The sequence below is a fragment of the Homo sapiens genome, chromosome 5, assembly GCF_000001405.40.
Source record: "Homo sapiens chromosome 5, GRCh38.p14 Primary Assembly".
Classification (NCBI taxonomy): domain Eukaryota; kingdom Metazoa; phylum Chordata; class Mammalia; order Primates; family Hominidae; genus Homo; species Homo sapiens.
The window spans coordinates 8315177-8334466 of NC_000005.10; the positions used below are offsets into that span (position 1 = coordinate 8315177).

General features: G+C 41.5%; 1 long non-coding RNA gene across 1 annotated transcript in view; it reads right to left on the reverse strand.

Annotated features, from left to right (window-relative positions):
- Positions 1-18306: 18306 nt before the first annotated feature.
- Positions 18307-19290, reverse strand: part of LINC02226 (long intergenic non-protein coding RNA 2226) — a 124082-nt gene continuing 123098 nt past the window's right edge. Inside the window, exon 6 of the long non-coding RNA NR_039984.1 lies at positions 18307-19276. This is a non-coding gene — a long non-coding RNA (long intergenic non-protein coding RNA 2226). The remainder of the gene's footprint in view (positions 19277-19290) is intronic.

Consider the following 19290-nt stretch of genomic DNA (forward strand, 5'->3'; position numbering starts at 1 on the left):
GCTGGACGGTTACCCAAGGAGGCCTTAAGCAGAGGAAGCAGTTCCATCAGCAAGAATAAATTCAGACAGATCTGAAGCTGCTTCACTTGCCAGTATCCCCTTCAAATTTACCTCATTACTCTTTCTAGGTTCAACATTGTTTGATACGTCCTTTTTCCCTTTCCTTCTCTTCCCTTCCCTTTCTTTTCCCTGCGCTTACTTGATTGAGATATGCTATTCAATTGGATGAAAGAGCAATTTTGTGGTTATACAGATGGATGTAAGAACATATAAACACTTTAATCTTACGTTTTTGTGAAGGTACTTTTACATTCATTTCAGAACACAGATTCAAAAATTCTGAGGAAAAAAAATGAAGCTTTACATCTATCTTCTAGAGACCCTAAGAACTGATAGTTATTATTCCATTATGTTTGAATGGCTTTTTTTTCTCCCAAGCTAAAAAATACAGGGAACATGATCTAATCATATGTGAATAGATACAGAAATAAAATTTATTAAGAACAAAGAACATGTGTGTAAATAATTGCCCAGGCAAAATGGCAATGAAATTGTTTTCCTCTTGCTCTTTTGCACTGTCTCAATGATCTAAGTGGTGCCCGATTTCTCTTCCCTGTCTTCCAATAGTCTTCCCTCCCCGAACCTTTGGATGCTCCCATTGCTGTAAGAATTATGTAAATAATTTTCACCAATAATTAAAACATGCTTGTTTCCTTCATGCTCTCTTCTTCCTCCCCCACCAGAGGCAATGCCCAGTAGGACCTTAGGAAATCCATATTGAAGATGTAGAAGCCTCCATCAGCCTGTGTCCTTCAAGCCCTCCCTGTTCTTGCCCTCTGGTCCCACCCACAATCAGGAACACCCATGTGGCACTGTTACAAGAACCAGAGCATACTTTTGTTGTATTATATTGCTGAAATTTGGAGTTGATCTGTTACAACATCTAACAGTGCCTTATCAAACAGAGATTTGCTCTCACATCCTGACTCTGATTATTAAATAAACTGTTTGAGGTTCTATTACAATGACTTTATGCCTCACCAAGTGGCTATGAGAAGAGTTGGAGGGGACAAAATAGGCATTCAGACAAGAGATTATTCCAGTCTTCTAGAAACCTGCTACTCAATTCATGTGTTCTTCAATCTCATGTTTGATCTTTACCAAGAATTAGTGAGCAACCTACTCCATCAAATCTTCCATTTCTTGTCCTACCATGCTGCATTCCAGCTGGGACTCATAAATTCACTACTAACAAGAAACGTATTGTGGCCAAAATGAAACAGAAACATAGTTTGCATTTCACAAGAGTACATCAGTGTCATAGAAATGCATTCCCATTCCCAATGCACTTAAAGTAGATGGTTTGTGGACTGTAACATAATACAGCTTCTCAAGACACAATACTTTTTAACACTTCTAAAACCCATTTTTCTGAAGTTTTCTCAGGAATGAAAAAGAGTTTACAGATTTTTTAAAATTTCAGTTTCTTATAATGATTCATGTATGCATGAAATTCATTTTCCATAAAGAAATGATGCCAACGAGCTCAGCTGCATTCCTTAAAGAAGCATATGATTGAGATCCTCTTGTTCCCAGTAGGTACCATGGTCAGCTCCCCATGACTGACAGGAAGGACCTTCCCGAGCAGAAACAGAGTTCAGGCTGCCTGGAGGGGAGACTGGCTCGGTTCAGGGGTCTTGGAAGCACCAGGACTTGGTGGGCAGGAGGATGGGGGATTCTGCCTCTTGTTCACTGCACACCCACTGCAGAAGACCCAGGAGCCGTTTTGTTGGAAATAGACAGCAGGAAGGAGGGACTAAAGCAGAGATACCAACAATCCCTTAGATGCTATTGCAATTATCCAGGCAATTGGTGCTGGTGCCTTGAACTAGAGTGGTTGCCATGGAGACGATGAGACGGGGTAAGATTCAGACTACCTGGGGAAGGTAATGCAGACTGGCAGGGAGGACCTTCCATCAGTTGATTTAGTTGGAATATAAAGTTAATGTTAAATGGCTAGCTCTCTTGCCCCACCATACCAAGTTTGCTTCTGTGCTGGTCTCATTCTAGTCTCTGTAATAAGGGCTGCAGAACCTGCTGTTAAACATGACTCCCTACATTAACTTTCAAAGAAGACTGAAAAAAAAAAAGTATTTTGCAAGCTTCCAGCTCTTCTGGATCCTTCAGCTAGATATCCATGTGTCTCCCCATCTCAAAAAGTGACAACTCTACCTTCCAGTTGTTTAAGCCAAAGATCTCGGCGTATCTCTACACATCGTTATTTTCCTTAGACCGTATGACCAGTCTGTTATGCAATTCTGTCTGCAATACCTTCCCATGATAGCCTGAATCTTACTGCCTATTGTTTCCACGGCAACCACTCTGGGCCAAGGCACTAGCACCTATTGCCTGGATTACTGCAATCGTGTTTTAGGGTTGTTGGTATTTCTGCTTTATCCTTTCCTCCCTGCAGTCTATTCCAACAAAACCCAAAATCTGTTAAATTTATGAAAATGTCCCTTGTGTGATCAGTCTTCTTCAATGGTCTCTGTGTCATGCAGGGCACAAAGGAAGTCCATAAAATGGCTTCAAAGGCTTTATCATCTTGATCCCTTACTCTCTCACCCTTCCCAGGGCTCTCTAGACACACCCCAACTTGGGGTTCTGGCCTGGCTGCTCTCTATGCCTGAAATGCTCCTTCTCACATTAGCTTCACACCCTCTCCAATCCCTCCCCCATCAGAGTATTACGCTCCTCACCCACACCGTCTGCTTTGTTTGTCCCTTAACAAGGGCCACCATTTTACATGTCACATATGCAGTTTTTCCTATATGTCTATTTGTAGCACGCAAGGATGTAGAATTTTGTCTGCTTGGTTTACTGCTATATTCTAGTGCCTGAGACAGTGCCTACCAGATGGTCGTTGCTGAGTAAGTTTCTGTTCAACAGACATGTGTTTTCCCCACAAAAGAATTACTATTGTTGATATTTGTTGTTAAATTAGTAGTTGCAATTTCAGAGCAGGCATTTACATTTTGCAAAAAAAAAAGTTTGTGTCCTTTTACTAGGCTGGATTCTGTGCTTGTTTGTTTTTCAGCGAGATAAGGGGAGGGAACAGGAATGAGGTTGCTGTCTCTTAGAGTTTGTAAAAAATGATAACATGTTTCTGCATAGTTGGGTCAAATTATTCTTCTGGAAACTTTTGTGAAGAAGTTTGAAATCTTGGGTATGATACATGTGGACTGTTTTTTCTTATGTTTCTGGTTGTGTTTGCTTGTTCTGGCTTTTTTGGGTTTGTTTTCTTTTGTTGTTATAGTTTTAGGTTAGCCAGTGGATGGATAATACTCATGTAACATTGACGGTGTATCAGGCACTTGCAGGACCCAGATGGAGATAAAGCAATGGGTGTGGCAGGACCACAACTTTTCAAAAGATTAAGTTGCTGCCATACTTCACACACACATGCTGCATTGTCTAAGATCAATAGAATTCTGATTACAGAAAAAGTTTTGGAAGCACAGTCGCCTCGGAAAGTGGTAGTACGCACAGAACAAATGATTATTTTGGGTGACAGAATTATGAACAACCGAATCTCCATTCTCATTAGTAAACTGTTTATGAAAAGTAAGTCATGAGGTGAGGATAGATATGAGATTAAATTCTCTTTCCCCAGCAACACCAAATCGTTAAACACGTAGATTGTAAAAGTGGAGATTTGCTCCAAGGGGGTCTCTCATTTAAAATGTACATTCCATTAGGACATTAGCATGAATTACTTATTCAGATCCTTAAGAAATATACTTTAGATTGGTGAAATTGAAAGACAAGTGATGAAAGAAACACACACACACACACACACACACACATACACACACTCACACAGAACCTGGGCCCAGGGCCCCATGAGTAGAGGCTTCCCCAGTGAAGGAGCACAGCGGGCACCATCCCATCTTGAAATTTCAGAGACGGAAGAACTCCGCCCAATGGGATAGGTTTTATATCCAAGAGCAGTGGCCCTGAAATTTTTCACTCCTATCTCTGAATGAAACTTTTAGAGAACAGAAAGCCTTACACCTCGATTGTCAGAGGCACTGATATTCCAGTTGTCATTCCACTACTGTTCACAAGATATGGAAAAGTTTACTTGTGAGACAGAAAGGAAAACCAAACCAACCCTATCAACTAGTCTTCCATAAAAAAAACAAGGTCATAAACAAAGCCTCTCCACTATTCCCTCCACTGGCGGAATCACACACTGTGGCCCCAGCTCACTCGCGGAGGCTGCTGGGCTGAGGGTGCTGCTGGCTTAGAGTGTGTATCCCACACTGATGCGTGAACCTGAGGCCTGAGCAAGAGGCAGAGGTTGCTGACTAAAGGCTCCATGCCCGTGGCCCTCTACCACGTACAGAAGTCAAAGGAAGATGAAATGGTGTCGGTGTCCTGTGAATTTCTATACAGGCTGAAGGGGGAACAGTTGAGAAGCAGTTTTAGTATGCTCAATCTTGATGAGTATTTACCTTGAAAAATAGAGGATTTTTTTTATTATTGATCTTCAAGAACATATAGATTACTTTTGGAGATAGAAATTAAACACTTCAACTACTAAAATAAAAACAGAGGTTTTAACTTCAAAAAAATTTTCAAATTTAAAGTGTAATACTTGAACACCTTTGACTGTTTTTATTTAAATGTATAATTTGTTGCCTCCCTCTCAGGATTCCAAGAATGAGCTATCATTCTTCCTGGTTCCTTATTTTTGTTTCTTTTTTATAAAGGGAAAAGGGCTTTACTTACTCAAATTTGTTTTCCTGGAAAGAATGTTATTACCGTGGTATTTGAAAAAGTTTTTTGTTCCTCTATCTAGTAGAGGCATACAGCTTTCTGCTACAAATGAAAATGCATATGCAAACATTAAATATTACAAATAAAAGCATATACAGCTATAAATATTTCTTTATCCCTTACCCTTATTCAGAGGTTCCCGGACTGTCTGACCTCATTTCCAGTTGCACCAACACCCCCAGGGGCATAACTCTCTAAAGGAAAACAACAGCTCCCCACACACTCACAGCTCCACATGCCCCTGTGCAGAGACATCCTCTGCAGGGCCTGAGCCACCTGCCTCCTCCTGAAAGGCAAATCTTAGAGTCATTAGCATTGATTTCTCTGTCTGCAAATGGCAGCCACTAATTTTAATCACAGCTTGACAGGTGGCTTTTTGACACTTATATCTGCCTGTCCCTGGCCCCACTGCTTTGAGAATTCCATCATCATTATGCCTCAGCACACCTGTCTTTATATTATTTTACCTTTCATAGTAAGAAGCAGTCCTTCAACATTGGTTTATTTACCTGACTTGCTACTCAAGGTGCTTTTAGCTCAGGTAATTTTCCAACCTCCAAGCACATCATGCATCATCCATAGGAATGAAGATCCAAATCAGTGAGGACTGGGACTGCCCCAGAGCAGAGCAGCCCAAGGCAACATAGGGGACTGAGAATTTCCAGGTTATGGTTGGACATTTAGTAGTTATTTGTGGACAGAATAAAGAAGGATATCCAATCCCTCCAAAGGGGCTCTCAAACACAGAAAAGCTTTACTGGCCACTCTACAACTAGAGTTGACCTCAGGTAGGATGAAGCCCTAGAGACAAGGCCAGCCCTCCCCACCATGACAGTTGACTTGAAGCATGCTGGGAAGTCCACTGCAGCAGAAACAGCTAGTTGCCTATCCAGGATCTTTCTCCAATTCTTCCATGACAACAGGGCCCTGAATTTGTTAATGGCGGTGATACACCCAAGCTAAAAGATTGTAAAGTACCTAGTCTTCCTTGAAACTAATTTCTAGCTAGGGAGTTACACTGGTAAGACATGAAAATATGCTGAAAACAGGAACAGACATCTGTGTAAAGGACTTTATGTACTTCTTTCCTTCCTTTTCATGAGGAACGCAAACGAGATGGCTGGAGCTCCAATAGCCATCTTGGACCTCAAGGCAAATATAAGCATGTCAGCCTCTGACTTAGAAAATCAAAACAGAAAGATGAGAATAGATTGATTCCCTAGTGGTGCAGAAGTTGGAAAACTAGTTCTTGACTTTCAACCTCCATAATTTGTTTATATCAGAGAAAATAAATCATTGTAATTTCTTGTCTATGCCACCAGCAGACAGAATTCCTATTACAACACAGTCTCCTATAAATAATACTCAACCCGTATCTGCACACATGCACACACAAACATGCACAGAGTAGATGCCACTAATTGACCTCTTCTGTGGGTTTCTTTAAAACTCTGTATGTCTGGAGTAGATGACTTATTAAGTTCTTAGTATATGACTAATTTTGTCCACAAAGTGAACTCTTCTAAGCAAATAGAATATAAATGGAAGAATCACATAGAGAACAAAATAAATCTTTAAAAAGGGGAAAGAGAAATCATAGGTAAAGGAAGCAGAGATATATCTGGAAAAAATTACAGTCCTACACTGTGTGTGGTCTGTTATTAAATAATATCCAAATCATCCATATTTATATTAATCAAATATAAAAACATGACACAAAGAATGAAATTAATTTCTTTAGTTGAACTGTGAATTTATGGTTGAATTTTTTTTATTTGTAGTTACCATATTTTAAACATTGAGTTAATACAAATCAGTTATATATGTTAAAAGGAGAATGCCCATGCTAGTTATTATGTTCCTCATCCAAGGCTTCATCAGCTACTGCTAGCATGACAGCATCATCCACATAGTTAACTAATATTTGATTAAAAGATTGACTCCAGAAGTAGCAACTGTAAGCACTTCAGCTCCTTGTCTCTCCAGTGAAAATCAGATATATTTTGTTAATTAGTATTAAAAACACTGGATTTTATTTGGTGAAATTAGTAGTGTTTCAGATATGAGGACTGCTCAATATCATAACGACACGATCCTTATTCCTACCAGAACCAGTTGTAAGAATCCTATGAGTACCTCACGCTATAGCCTTCAGAAGTTGCCCAAAGCCTAACTCTGAAACCATCCTGTATTTACCCATGGACTGTATTTACCATGTAGGTCACCAGCTGCTGGAAGCTGACTAGATGTATACCTAGATTGGTCTCCAGAAAAATGTTCTGTCCGCTCCAAGAGAAGGTTTCATACTAGCTATGGAGGATTACCCAAAAGGACAGAGGACTAGGGATTTACTGAGTTTACTAACCAGGATGCATGACTATTCTGGACCTGCTTGCTAAATTAAACATTTATCAAGTACATGTTTTTACATGTAGCACATCTCATTTTCTGATCTATCTTCACCCAAAGTCAAGGATGTGTGGAAGGAAAACTATAGACCCCACCAATCTTTGACTACTGGTGGTTACACACTTACCAATAAGATCCAACTAGTTATTCATGATGGATCTGCTTAGACCAGTTTACAACCGGCACCAATGACAGATAATACCACACCACAATTTGTTGGGCCTGCCTCCAGCCCCATCCCACACTGCACCTCCCATTACTGAATCTGAGTCAGCCTTCTCCTTTGCAAGGGAGAGAAAGGAGGTTATTCAAAGTGTTTTTCCGTTGGACCCACCCAATAAAAGCTAGGTTTTACTATGAATTGTTCCAAGATAAGACAACCCTGTATACAATGCCAATGTGCTACCTAAATTAAAGCCTATTATCTCACCTCTTGCCTGTCTATAGATCATGATCAAAGAAAGAATTATCTTAATTTACTTAAGTCTATTTGTAATCAATCAATTATTATACTACTCTGTCATTATTGGGCAGGAAATGATTAATCATCCTTCTTGGGAGATTTAGGTGATGTCCAAGAAGGATCCTTGTTGCTGGGTTTTGGCATAAATATGTATCTTCTGTTTGAGCTCCAAGAAGAAGCAACTCTTCCCTAAAAGGTGGCCTAAAACAGCTCTAATCTGAGCTGAATTCAGACACCACCACCCCCCCAGCTGATAGACAAGCAAATGCTGAATGTTGGATATTTTTTCAGTTATTTTCATCATAGTCAACCCCAGCTATTCTAGCTGTCACCAGTCAGTTGACACAATTGGTTTCTGACTTCTTATCCCATTTATTTTATAAAAGCCTCCAGCCCCTTGTGTATAACTAACTCATTTACAGTGTTTTAAATGAACCAATAGAAAGGCTCAAGAATGAATACACTTCTGCTAGGTGGCATCAACAATTCTACCTGCACCATGGTCTCCCTGGCTCCTCAGTCTGTTTATGCTCCAGAGCCCTCTTAGCATTGAGGATGTACTGTGGGCTACCAAAGCAAGAATAGGGTGCCCCTCTCCTCTTTGTGTAAGAGTCCTTGGTGTTCTCCAGGATTGCATTGCTTTTACTCCAATAATTTTGGGAGATTTAGAGCAACAGCCCTTTGAGATTTTCTGACAATATGTGAGGCATTTGAAAGCAAATCCAAATACTACTTATTCCCCAGAGGAAAAAAACTGGCCAGGGCTGTATTTCAACTGGGGAACTGACGTTCATTCCACTCCAGCATCTTGAAGCCTTCCTGCCTTTCCTAAGTGGCAGAAAAACAGTCAACAGAAGTCAGGGCTTCGAGAAAATATATGGAGATCCCTGCAGTCAGGGGAGGAAGTAGAAGGAAGGGGGAGCAGGCTAAATGATGGAAAAATATTGGTGAAGGTCACAGATCTGAGATACAGGGTGACTAAAGCTGACATTTAATCACCTGTGTACAGAACAACCTTTCTCCTGCATGCATTACCACCACACTAACAGGGCTCCAACATAACCATATTTATAGAACATTCCATCTGGTAATGGCAGCAGATACATTCTTTTCATGCTCATATGGAACATTTAGCAAGACAGACCACATTCTGAGCCATAAAACACACAATTACAAAATTAAAAGGATACAAAGCTTATAGTATATTCTCAAACTACAGTAGAATTAAACTAAAACTCAATAATGGAAAAAATAGCTAGATTATTTCCCAAGTGTTAGGAAAATTAACAAATTTCTAACTAACCCAAAGTCAAAGAAGAAGTTTTAAGAGAAACTATAAAGTATTTTGAATTAAGGAAAACAAAATGTATAATTTATTAAAATGTGTGTGATGTAGTGAAATTCGAGGGGAAGCTACAGTGTTGCATGTGTATATTACAAATGAAGAAAGAGCTAAAATCAATAAAGTAAGTTTTCATTTTGGGGAACCAGAAAGTAAGCGCAATTTAAGCCCCAAAACAGCAGAAAAAGAGAAAATGGTATTTAAAAAAATACAGCAGAAATCCATGGGGGGAAAAACAAAACAAAACAAACAAACAAAAAAACAGGACAAAAATAGAGAACAGAAAAGATACCAAAAAGCTGTTTTTGGAGAAGTTCAATTAAATTGATAAGCCTCTCAACAGGAAAATGTCAGAAGAAGGACACAAGTGACAATTTCAGAAATGAAAGGTCATTACTTCTGTAATTCTATGATTTAAAAGAACAATAAAAGAGTACTATGAACGACCATACTAACAAATTTCATATCATAGATGAAATGCACCAATTTCTTGAAAGCTATTAACTGCCAAAACTCAAAAAAGTAGTAAATGACCTAAACAGCCCTATATCTGTTAAATAAATTGAATCAATAATGAATAATCTTTTTTTAAAAAAAAACACTATCAGGTTCAGGTGCTTTTTTAATTTGGGGGGAGTCAGGGTCTCTCTCTCTCACACAGGCTGGAGTGCAGCAGCACAGTCACAGACACTGTAGTCTCAACCTCTTTAGCTCAAGTGAACCTTCCAGCTGAGTCTCTCAAGTAGCAGGTACTACATTCATGCACCGCTGTGCCTGGTTAATGCTTTCTTTTTCAATTTTTAAAAAATTTTTTTGTACAGAAGGGATCTCACTGTGTTGCCTAGACTGAGCTTTAACTCCTGGGCTCAAGTGATCCTCCCCACTTGGCTTCCCAAAATGCTGAGATTACAGTTGTAAGCCACCACACTTGGCTCAGATGTTTTAACTGGTGAATTCCACCAAATATTTAATTTAAAAAATATACCAGTTCTCTACAATTTCTTACAGATTATCCTAATACCAAAACCAATAAAGCCCAGTTTTTATTATAGAAATAAAAACTAAAGTCTAATATCTTTAATGGACACAGATGCAAAAATATTCAACATACTATCAGCACATTGAATCCAACAATTCTATAATGAATTATATACCATGATAAAGCAGGATTTATTTCAGGTATGCAAGACTGGTTCAACATTTAAATATCAGTCCATGTAATCTGCCACATCAGCAGACTAAAGAAGAACAATGAAAGAAGAACAAACATAGTAATTAATGCAGGAAAAGCATTTGAGAAAATGCAACATCCAGTCATGATAAAAATTCCCAGAAAACGAAGAATAGTTGGGAACTTCCTCCACCTGACGAAGAGCACGTATAAAATACTAAGAGCTAACAACATATTTGACAGTGAGACACTAGGTATCTTCTTTCTAATGTGGAGAATAAGACAATGATGTGTCATTCAATCACTTTAACTCAGCATGGTACCGGAAGTTCTAGCTATTTCAAAAATACAAGCAAAAGAAATAAAAGATATGCAAATTGAGAAGAAAAAAATAAAACTGTCTATGATTCATACACAGATGAAATGATTATATATAAATTCCAAACAAACTAGAAAATAAACAACAAAAGGAGAAACAAACAAAAACTTCCTGAAACCAGTAAGCAAGTGTATCAAGGTTGTAAAACAAAAAGTTAATGTACAAAAGTCAATTGTACTTCTAAATACTAGTAAAGAATAATTGTCACTTAAAAAAACATGGAAAACTGAAATACGTAAATTTACAAGACCATATGAACAGTATCTGTATGGAGACACTGTAAAACAATGAAGAAAAAAAGAAAACAATCTAGGCAAGTGGAGAGATATTACCTGTTCAGGGATTGGAACACTCAATATTATTAAGCTTTTTTTTTTTTTTTTTTTTTTTGAGATGGAATCTCGCTCTGTCACCAGACTGGATGGAGTGGCATGATCTCCGCTCACTGCAACCCCCACCTCCTGGGTCCAAGAAATTTTTCTGCCTCAGCCTCCTGAGTAGCTGGGATTACAGGCATGCACCACCACATCTGGCTAATTTTTGTATTTTTAATAGAGATGGGGTTTTGCCACGTTGGCCAGGCTGGTCTTGAACTCCTGACTTCAGGTGATCCACCTGCCTCAGCCTCAAAGTGCTGGGATTACAGGTGTGAGCCACCAGGCCTGGCCCAATTCTTTCTAACTTTATCTATAGATCCAATGCAACTCCAGCAGGCTATTCTGTTGATGTCAACAAGCTGATTCTAAAGTTTATATAGAAAAACAAGACACTCAAAACAGCCAACACAATATTGAAGAAAAACAAAGTTAGATTACCGACTACCAAATTTCAAAGCTTACTATAAATCTACAGTAATCAAGTCAGTGTGGTTTTGGTGACAGAATAGACAAATACATCCGTGGAACACTAGAGATTCCAGAGGTAGATCAACATGAAAAGTCAACTGATTCTTGACAAAGGTGCCGTGGCCGATTGACGGACTTTGTCAGGAGACATGCCCCGTACAGTGCATCCGCTGTAGTAGTCCCCGTTGTTTGGCAGCATCAGTTTCACTTGCCAGTGAATATCTGCATACACAAACATGACATTCGGTGTGGGCAGTGTGAGCTGATTTTAGGGTGGTGCCATATTTAATATGCATAACTGAGGTAAATTATTAACCTTACAGATATTAAATAAGGTTAACTTTCTTCAAGATGTTTGTTCTAGAAGAAGAACCAAGAGTCTCTGCACACAATGGCCTGTGGTTGAAGATAAGGTGTTCCCAAACTTTAGTGTGCATCAAAATATCAAAATCACCTGGAAGGTTGGTCAAACAACATGTTGCTCTCACATTGAGATTTCTGACTTAGCAGGTGGGGCTGGAGAATTTGCATGTCTAACAAGTTCCCAGTGAAGCTGAGTTGCTGGCGCTAGGACCAGGTCCTCAATCCCACTGCTTTGGACTCAAGCAGAGGGGGAATGTAGAACAGAGCACCAGACTAGCACCTGAAAGAGCCACAGTGGGGGAATGCAGGACGCACTGAAAGCAAGACAAGCCCTTTGCTTGATAAACTACATGATTCAGAGCCAGTTTGGTATTAAAAACAAAACAAAGCAACAAACGGCACGAGGGCATCTGGCCACAGGTGACTTTTATGTTACCTAAAATGTCTGAAGTTTAGGATCAATTTGCAATGAGAGATCACAATTTTTCAAAATATGATTTTCATCATTTATGTTCATTATCCTGTGTGCGGGACTTCTACAGAAAGGTAAGCTAATAAATGAGTGTATTTTAAACCAATAAATTTCTGTGAACTTATCAGGCAGCAACAGAAATCCAGCAAAGAGAACAACTAAAGCATACATTACTGAAGCTAAGGCAAACTTTTATCAGGAAGAAGATATTTTTAGATGACTTAAGGTAGTTTGCAAATTCCAAAAGACATGAAGTTTCCTTTGGAGATACAATCTTTCTACTTCGTTTGTAATTGTCAAAATACAGGAAAATCACATTTCAATTTTGAGCATTTCAATAAGAAACTGCTAAAATGCAGATATTCCATTCAAAAGTCTCTTAATAAGCCACTAGCATTATCTGGATTCGAGGCTACTTCCTCTGTTGTTAACATAAATAGGTGGTAAATACCACAGTCTAGGCTGGGAGGTGGGAAGCAGCTCTAGGCATGTGTTAAAATGTAATCGTTTCTTGATCAAAGTGCACGGCCACATCCATCTATTAGAAGAGGGGTATTTGAAACAATGTCCCAAAGGAAGAAGACAGGTGCTGGGAGGTAAGGGCTCTGTGAGATTCCCAAAGTCAGGTTTTGCAAATAGATGGAGATGGAGATGGGGTTTCCTTCCCCTCACACTAAATATGGGAAAGATAACATCATGCGCAAATGGTTCCACAAAAGGGGAACTTGGTGAAAGGAGCTGAAGAAGTGGGGAAGGAAAGAAGGAAACCAGGGAGAGGGAAGGAATAGAACAGAGATTGCTCCTGAGAGGTACGGGAGGGGCAGAAGGCGCAAGTCCACAGCCAGCACTGCCTCCCCGACTTCTGTGCTGCTTTGGGCTCACTGCCTGTGGACTAAACCCAGGGTTTTGTTGTTTCATTTTTCTTCATATGACCTAGTGGCCCATTAAACATATGTTGAATTGGGCATCAGCACTAAGGGGAAAAAGGAAGCGAGAGAAAGAGAGATACCAAGAATGAACGGGTGAGAGAGAGAGAGTCTAATTTAGAGTTAAGAGTTTGCAAGGTGGTGTTGGCAGCCACCATTATGGTTGCTAATTTTTTTCTACTGAAAAAAAAAAAAAAAACCACAAAACACAAACAATCTTCCAATTCACCTGATACCTGAAGTCCAAGAATTTATCATGATGTGGGACTGAGCCACTTGGGGATTTAGCACCCAGCATTTTTTAGTGACCAAGATAATGAAAATGACCAAAGTGATGAAAATTTAATCAGGCCCACAAAAAAAAAAGTTTGCGGAAGCAATGAGTGGCTCAAAGGACATTGTAGCCAGCTGCTGACGCCCAGAAGTCTGGTTACTGAAGGTGTCATCTAAGATTGAAGAAACATAGATTTTTTTCCCCCGATTCCTTGAAATTTCCCTTCCCTTACTCTCTAGCTGCATTAAAACTCCCTACTGCTGCTTTTTGTTGAGGTGGATTAGGAGCTCTTGCCTTCTTACCTCCTCACTTTGGCCAAATAGAATAAGCCTTTCTGTATCTCCAAGCACCTGTGTGTGAGTGTCTGGCCTCAGTTGCATATCAGGTGCACAGGCCTGAGTTTGGGCTTCTACCTCTAACTTACAGCCTAGGATTTCATACAGCAGGAGTGGAGAGGATAACACACTCGTCAACAAGCCCATTCTCTGAGACTATTTTTACCTATTTTTAAGCCTTTTGGTCTCAGGTCTGCCTAAGGAATAAGTTGCCACTTTTAGTGAGGGAATAAGGCAGTTTAGTACCAGCTGAGAAAAGCAGAGGTGAAGGAATAATTAGGACTAAATCTAAGCCTAATTCACAAAGTCTTCTTGGCCCCAACTCTAAGACCTTCCTCCAAATCATCAAATGGAGCAGGGTGATGCTTGTTTTAGGCATCAGGCATCCAGGGATGCGTGAAGATAGCCTCGCACGCATTGCTTTCATGCCCTGTATAAACCACGCCTCCCCAGAGAGCCCTTCCTTTCCTATCCTGATGTGAAGACTGACTGAGATAAACTATAGCAAGGCGAGAGAATTGTTCCTTACAATAAATGTAATCTCAAAGGGTAAAGTACCTCATTCACCTGGCTGCTTAAGCACAAGAAACTATACAGCACTTAAGGAAACACATACATAGTTAAGAAATTAAATAACATGAATTACTAGCACCTGTATCCTAAAGACACCACAAGGGATAAAGTAAACCCTTGAATAGGATACATTTTAGGAGGAATTCTAAGGAAGCCCCACTTTTCAAAGAGCAAATTTAACTGCTTAAGAGCATATTAAAAGAAAATATGTAAAATTAAAGCAATTGAATTAGTTTCCTATGAAAACAGAGTCAAATCTTACCAAATTTGAAATTATTATAATTATGTAATTTAATCATTTAGACTTCTTCCCATGTAACTGCTTAACTTACCTCCAGAGGTCCTGACTGTTGAGATGCCTGGTCTTCTGCAGACAAACCACGTGAAAACGGATTCACTGACTCACCAGTTACAAAACCCTCAGGCAAAATGACGCACAATTAGCAACGGAGTCATTGCTACAGGCAGTTTGGGGGAATGAAATGAAATTTTCATCAATATTTTACACGATTCACTCTCCTTAACCTTGAAGAGTGGCTCCATGTTTTTGAGTAACATTGACAAAGATAATTGAAGGGACATATTTTTTTTTTCTGAAACATCAATGAAATTGTTGTAAGCAAACTCAAGCCTGAATCCTGAATTAACATCTCCTCAATTTCCCACTCTAAGGTTGGCACTGTCGGTGGTAAAGAGTGGATGAAGAGACTGGTTTTCAGAGGATGGTGGCAGTGCTGTTTTCCCAGGAGATCTGTTGGGGAGGACCTAAGAGTGGAGAAGGAATCAAAGGAGAGGTCTCTGCTCTGCCTTATCTGCTGACGGACCCTAACCCTGCAGTGGGGGCCCACCAAGCCCATTTGGGGGTCCCTAGGTTTTTCTAGACACCATCTCCTCTTCCTTGCCATTGTCCACTTTCTTGCTGGCCATCTGAATTTGTCCATAGATAATATACAAGTTGTATCAAACAATTATCCTCTGGACAGGCAGCAGAAAACCAAAGCCTGTCTGAGTCTCCCAGGAGAATTACAGCACAAAGTTAGGACCTTCCTTAAGGTCTTTAGCATCTGTCCCCGGATAAGCAAGCAAGCCAACAGCTCTGGGTGCCCTGTGCAGCTCACTGACCTGAATTAGTGTTTTATTTAAACTGTCCCCAACCTCCTTGTCGGAGGAAATTGTGCCTAAGGAAGCATGGTTTTATGCTCTTTCTTATGAACTCATGAAAGGAACAAATGATGGTATATGGGGCTCAAATCAAAAATTGGTGAGAAAAAGTCCAGGAGTCAGGCTTCACTTCATGGAACCTGTAAAGAGGTGAGAATTGGAACGTTGGAAATAATATTTTCACCCCAGCGATGTGGGCTTTTTGGTTCCTATAACTCCTTCTTAACACATTCACCGTTACCTATGCTAATAAACATTTTAAAAATATTTATTGTATTTGAGTAGATCTTAAGTGATTTTGTGAAACTCAGACTCCTGATGGTTCCTGCAGAGGACTTGTTTGCAAACACAGTGAGCCCCACTGTGGATCCCTAAGTACACTTAGAGGAGACTTTGCGAAGCCCTTAACAAGCAGTTGCATACGTTCTTATGAATTTATCTTTGTTTCAAACTTTTTATCCCATTGTCCATCCTGTGCTTTGTTTTACAAGCATTGATACATTTACTAAAGTTTCTCTGAATATTCCAAAAAGCAAACAAACCAAGTTTTCTTATGACTTATAAATCATCAGACCTCACCTTTCTCAAGACCCACAAAATTACAAAACTAACCTGCAGGCTGAGGTGTGACCAGTGCCTGGGTCAGCCTGACTGAGGCCGTGAGGATGCTGGAGGCCACACTGTCCACTCTGAGTGTGCCCTGAAGTTATCATGCCTGGACATAGGAACCAGCAGAACCCTGGAGACAGCACTGTGTCCCCACAGGGCCACCGAATTGCTTCTTCCCTCTCATCCTGGAGTCATTTTCCAATTCACCCAAATGATCGGCTGAGCTTACACTGTAGTTTCCTGGTGGGCACATGATACACCTGAGGGCACCCCCACCAGGCAGCCACTCACTTATTGTCCTGCTCAGCCCTTGATAGCCCTGCTCCTAGGCTGGAGATCCAGATTTCCAACCTGCTCTAGGGTTGAACCCCAATCAAGAAGGAGCCCTGGAGTCCAGCTCTTCCTGCAGAGGCCTGCAGCTGCACCTCCCTGAGTACCGCCCTGTGGGCACCTGCAGCTGGCCAGTTCCTCCTCAGCCTTTCCTTGCTCAGGAGTGGCCTGGTCCAGCACTGCCTCCCTGGCTTCAGAGCCCCCTCCTCTATGGACTCATGCTCCTTGGATCTGGCATCCTGAGTGGAGCCCAGCCCAGTTAGAACACTGGACTTGGTCCCTGAAAGCCGAGCCAGGGCAGCTGCTCCCTCATCCGGGAGGGCAGCCAAGGTCTTAGAGGGGGAGCAACTTCTCTGTGGCAGGAAGGGCATGGAGAGAAGCCTCACAGGTAGCCTCCTCTCCCCACGCCTGCTCTCTTCTCCCCATGAAGCTTTCCCCTGAATTCTGCTGAAGACCAGGCCTCAAAAGGGGCACTGCCTTTGTATTTCGCCCTTTGTTTCTCTTTAATTCTAGAAAACCCTGAGTCTACCTTGGAGCACACTCTTGAATGTGACCCATCTAATGTCATCTTGACCCCAAGTCCACTTCCTTCAGGCACGCCTCCTTCTTCATTTTGCTGCCGCCAGCGCGTCTGCCTCCAGACCCTCTTCCTCTATGTAGGAGAGGCCACTCTCCTTCTAAAGCAAACCTTGCTTCCTTTTGCTGGAAAACAGCAGCTGCTGACCCACGGAGATCCAGACTCCAAAGGTGGCCCACAACCACCTTTACCCCACGATTTGTTTCCAATCTTCCTCGTAGCCTATCCCCTTACCCCACCACCTGCATGATTAGATTTCTCTGCAAGAGCAGAGATCCACCGTAATGGCAGCTCCAGTAAGAAAGCTGATTTCTGGCTTCTAAGAGAGTCTGCAGTGCAGTAGTCCTGGGTTGAAGGTTAGACTCTGCTGCATTAAGCACCTGGGGATGAGGCTCCTTCATTACTGCTCTGTCTCCCTAGAAGATGCCGTCCTCCTGGGCCTTCAGATGGACGCCAGTGTGGGATTTTATTGGAATGCACAAACTCCTGCACTGGCCAAGAAAAAAGTGGTGCAAAAAGCAATGCACAGGAATGGCTTGAGCAATGCAGGAGATGACGCCAAGCAGCCATGTGCCAGAGGGACCTGGGGAGCCCGCGGCAGGGCTTGGCGGTCAGCGGTGAACACAAGGTGGACAGTTTGTCCTCAGAGCCCAGTCACCAGGTGCATCCGCTTCACAGGGTTGGGGCCCGAATCTCTCTGTGCAAGGAGAGCATGTGGTTGGGCTGGTTTGAGTCTCACCCTTGGCAAGAAAGGACATCCCACTTTGATGGCTTTTTACCAAGACTGCACATGTTTGGAGCTGTGAAATTCTCCAAAGCAAAATTGGGGTGCTGCTGGCTTGTAGAATTCAGGTGTATGCTCCCCAGGAGGAAATGCCCACTGCTCACTAGAGATGGACAGTTCAGAAGAAAACTGGGCAGGACATTATCCCAGCAGCAGGAGTGGGTAAAGAAATGGGCAGGCAGAGTGGGTAGGGAGGGAGTGAGGAGCTGAGGAGCTCACTGGAGTGACAGTGAGATGGCTCATGGGCACAGAGAAATAATTCAAGCCAGAAGCCAAAAAAGTAACCTGAAGGCTGCACCAAGCAGTTTTGATGTCTTGCGTATAGTGGGAGGCAATAGATATTTGTAGGGTAGAATGAAGGGAAGAAAGACTGATTACAGGGAGGCCACTTAGGAGGTGACCGTGATATTCAAAGAAGACTCAAAAAGACAAGCCAAGGTAGAGGCAGTGGGAGTGATAATGCTGAAAATAGATTTATTTTGGAAAGGGGAATTTAAAACTGTGTCTTTTCCAGTGAAACCATTTCTCTGTTGCCCAAACTCAGTGCTGCCGATTGTGGCCGCACAGGCTGTGCAAGGCACATGGAAATGAATGGCTCCCCTGAAGTTGTGGGACGAGGCAGCCCTGCCTGGAGCTTCTGACATATGCAGGCAAATAAACATCCAGTACTTTCTCACAGAGATCTCCGGTGATAGGATAAATCACACATCCCAGCAAAGCAAGGGAAGAAAGCCAAAAATATTGAAGGCAGGCAAGGAGGGACCAGCAAACAAAGGACAAATAAAACCATAAGAAGGATTTTATATTCTAAAGATGATGGATCTTGAGCCACAGACAGAAGAGACGGATAGTTAGAAGCAGAGCAGCTGCAGAAAGAGGAAATCAGCAATGCATGTTTAATTTAACAGTTCAGGAAATCCAGTTACCATTTTTATTCGAGCATACTGGTGTGCTCTGCTATTCTCAAGAAATTATTTCCTTTTAAAAGTCCTGTTATTTGACTGTATCACGATAGAAATGGCTACCCATTGGCCATTCCCATCTCTTTCTCCAGTGCCTGCCTCCAGCTACAGAAGCCAGAGAATCAGGCACCCTCTTCCCCAACATTCTGCAGCTGGGAGGGGCCTTGTGGTCCCATCACATGGAGAGTGAAGGGCAGGGTGCCAGGCTTGTGGGAAAGATGTTTCCTTCTCTGTAGAAGAGAGGAGCTCTCTCCTTGCCCTTGTATCCCAGCTTCCTGCCTTGGCATGTTGAGATGTGAGAAGCCACTTTGCACCCATGAGAGAGAAGCAGGAGAGCTGTAGAGATGCTGACCCATGTCCTGACATCATGGGGCTTTGGAGAGCACTTGGAACCACCTTCTCTCTCTTCAGGTAAACAGTATATGCTCTTATGGTTTAAGCTGCTGCTCCCTGGGCTTTCTGTTGCACACAGA